Source organism: Homo sapiens, chromosome 17, assembly GCF_000001405.40.
Source record: "Homo sapiens chromosome 17, GRCh38.p14 Primary Assembly".
Classification (NCBI taxonomy): Eukaryota; Metazoa; Chordata; class Mammalia; order Primates; family Hominidae; genus Homo; species Homo sapiens.
Genome location: NC_000017.11, coordinates 38,657,291 through 38,659,847, shown reverse-complemented (window position 1 = coordinate 38,659,847; position 2,557 = coordinate 38,657,291). Strand labels below are relative to the sequence as shown.

At 57.2% G+C, this 2,557-nt stretch overlaps 1 annotated feature.

Moving 5' to 3' along the window:
• Positions 643 to 1,142: an enhancer, noted in NCBI's record as "H3K4me1 hESC enhancer chr17:36814959-36815458 (GRCh37/hg19 assembly coordinates)". NCBI's record gives its function as "activates a minimal SCP1, AML or CMV promoter by ChIP-STARR-seq in primed H9 embryonic stem cells {active_cell/tissue: H9 hESC(primed)}" and the evidence as "EXISTENCE:reporter gene assay evidence [ECO:0000049][PMID:30033119]".

Below are 2,557 nucleotides of genomic sequence, written 5' to 3'. Positions count from 1 at the left end.
ATGGTCTCGATTTCCTGACCTTGTGATCTGCCCGCCTCGGCCTCCCAAAGTGCTGGGATTACAGGCGTAAGCCACCGCGCCTGGCCCAAAAAATTTTTAAAAATTGGCTAGGTGTGGTGGCTTGTGCTTGTAGTCCCAGCTCAGCTACTCAGGAGGCTGAACGGGGAGGATTGCTTGAGCCCAAGAGATCAAGGCTGCAGTGAGCTATGATTGTGCTGATGCACTTTGGTCTGGGTGAGACAGCAAGACCTTGTCTCAAAAAATAAATTCATAGTAATGCCCCTCCCTCCATCCCTTCCTCCTCTACATTAACCTTGGCATAAAGAGAAGCTGCAGGTAGCCTCTGAGGGGCTTCTCCCCTTGGTAGGGACAAGGACTGAGAGGCATCTGACCAGAAGCGGGAGGGAGGGCTGGGTTTAGTTAAGACGAAGGTGTGGGCACCTATTTCTAGATCTTGCCAGGGATGTGGGAAGGGGCAGCCTGCATTGTTTTCTGCATTCCTCTGGGCAAGGACACAATAGGGCCAGGGCACTCTGCCTAGGGACCTGGCTGCATCAAAAGGACCTCCAGTGCCAGGAGGGAGAACCCTTCCTCCTCTGGACCCTGAGTGCTCCATTCAGGGAGACATCGGTTTGTCTGTTCCCCCAGCGCTGAATGCTCCTTGATCTGAGGTCCGTAAGTCCCAGACCCATAACCCACCGCATCGCCTGTGTATAATGGGAGCGGGGAGTGTAAATGCCAGGATCCACATGGGCAGTGGGCCAGCCCCCGTGCCAAGCCTCTTTGGGGGAGGAAGTGCTCTCCCCACCCCAGCCTCGCGCCCACCCTGCCTCCAGCTTCCCACTTCCTCCTCCATCTGAGCCTTGCAGCAGCAGCACCTCCTCTCTGGGGCCCAGCCAAGTAGCACTCAGCCCACGGCAGGCAGGCTCACAGCAGCCACAGAGCAGCCTTGCTCCCCGGCACCTGCTCCTCTCCTCTCCCAGCCTCCTCCGGACCCTCCCTTCCTGTCTTCTGCAACCTGGAGTTTGCACGGAGAGCCCCCTGTCATGTCTGGGGCTCTGTGTTGGGTGCCTGGTTGGTCCAGTTGGTCCAAGTCCTGATGAGCTCTATGTCACCCTGAGCAAATGTGGCCATCACCTCTGTTAGTCCTTTCTGAGTTCCAAGTCAGTCCAGACCCCTGTGGCCACTGTGGGTTCCATGTCACTCTGGACCAAAACGGGCACCACTTCAGTCTAATCCCTGTGGGCTCTGTGATTTCCTGAAGCAACATGGGCGCCCTATCATTCAGTCCCACCCCACCAGGCTCCATGTCACTCCAGGCCCTGTGAGCCCTGTCTCAGTGTGGGCTGCTACAGGCTCCCTGACACCCTGGGCTGGGTTCTGTGTTGGTTTGGGCCAAGTTAGGTGTCCTATAGTTCTAATTCCATGACAGGCTGGACACTGTGGACAGACACCATCTTGATCAGCACCGTGGACCTCCCCTTAGGCCAGACGCCTTTGGGCTCAGCCTCTGATCCCACTCTGGACTCTTGTGGGTCCTGTGTTCGCCTGAGCCAAAGGGAGCTCCGTGTTGCTCTAGCTCCTTGTAGTCCCTCGCCACTTTATGGGGGCCGGGAGGCCAGCAGCACTGGCATCACCTGAGTCTTGCTAGTAATGCAGACTCTTAGGCCCCACTCCAGGCCTCCCTAATCGGAATTGCATTTACCAACAAGATCCTAGACGATCCTGGCACATGTACAAGTTTAAGAAGCGCCATCATCAAATGCATGCTGACCTGAATCAAGGCAGGAACCTTGCTGACCTAATTCCACGTGAGCTCCATGACACCTGGGCCAGTGTGGTGACAAGAGACACCCCCCCCCCGCCCCGTGCCCCATGTGAGTGGAGGTGTTCTCCCTCTAGACACCCCTACTCCTGCCACACAGGTCTATGCCTCTCCTCTGTCTCCCCTTCTTTTCTTCCACTCGGAGGCCTTGCCTCTAACCAACTTCCTTCTCCAAAACCAATGCCCATTCCCCTGCCCAGCGTGTCTGGCACCCCCTGCACAGAATCCAAGCACAAAGGGCTTTTGTCATCCCTCACTCTGAGCCTGGCTCTGGGGCTCCTCTTGACCCTCCCTCCCGGCCAGCCTCCTGCCGCCACCTCAGGCCACCCCAGCTGGAGGCTGCTGCGGTACTTTTCCATCCCTGCTGTTCTCTGCCTTACACACACATTGCACAGATAGATCCAAAGTCTATATCTATATATACCTCTCACCCCCCCACCCCCGGACGTCGTGCGTCTCGTTTGCCAGGCTGTGGTCGTGCAGTCTGTCGCTCGTTAAGGCTCTGTCTCAGATTTGCATGTTTAATATTTTATCCAGGAAGTGCTTCTGGCTGGGGCTCCGGGAGGTGGTGTGAAGCCGACAGAATGTCAGGCCCCGGAATGGTTGCTCACGGGTGGTGGCGGTGGGATGAGCGTCTGCGGGACTGGGGATGGTGACGCCAGTTCCTGGCTGCTTGTCTGGGCTTCAGCATTGGGGTGGGGTGGCAGGAGGTGGGCTTGGGGAGAACATGTT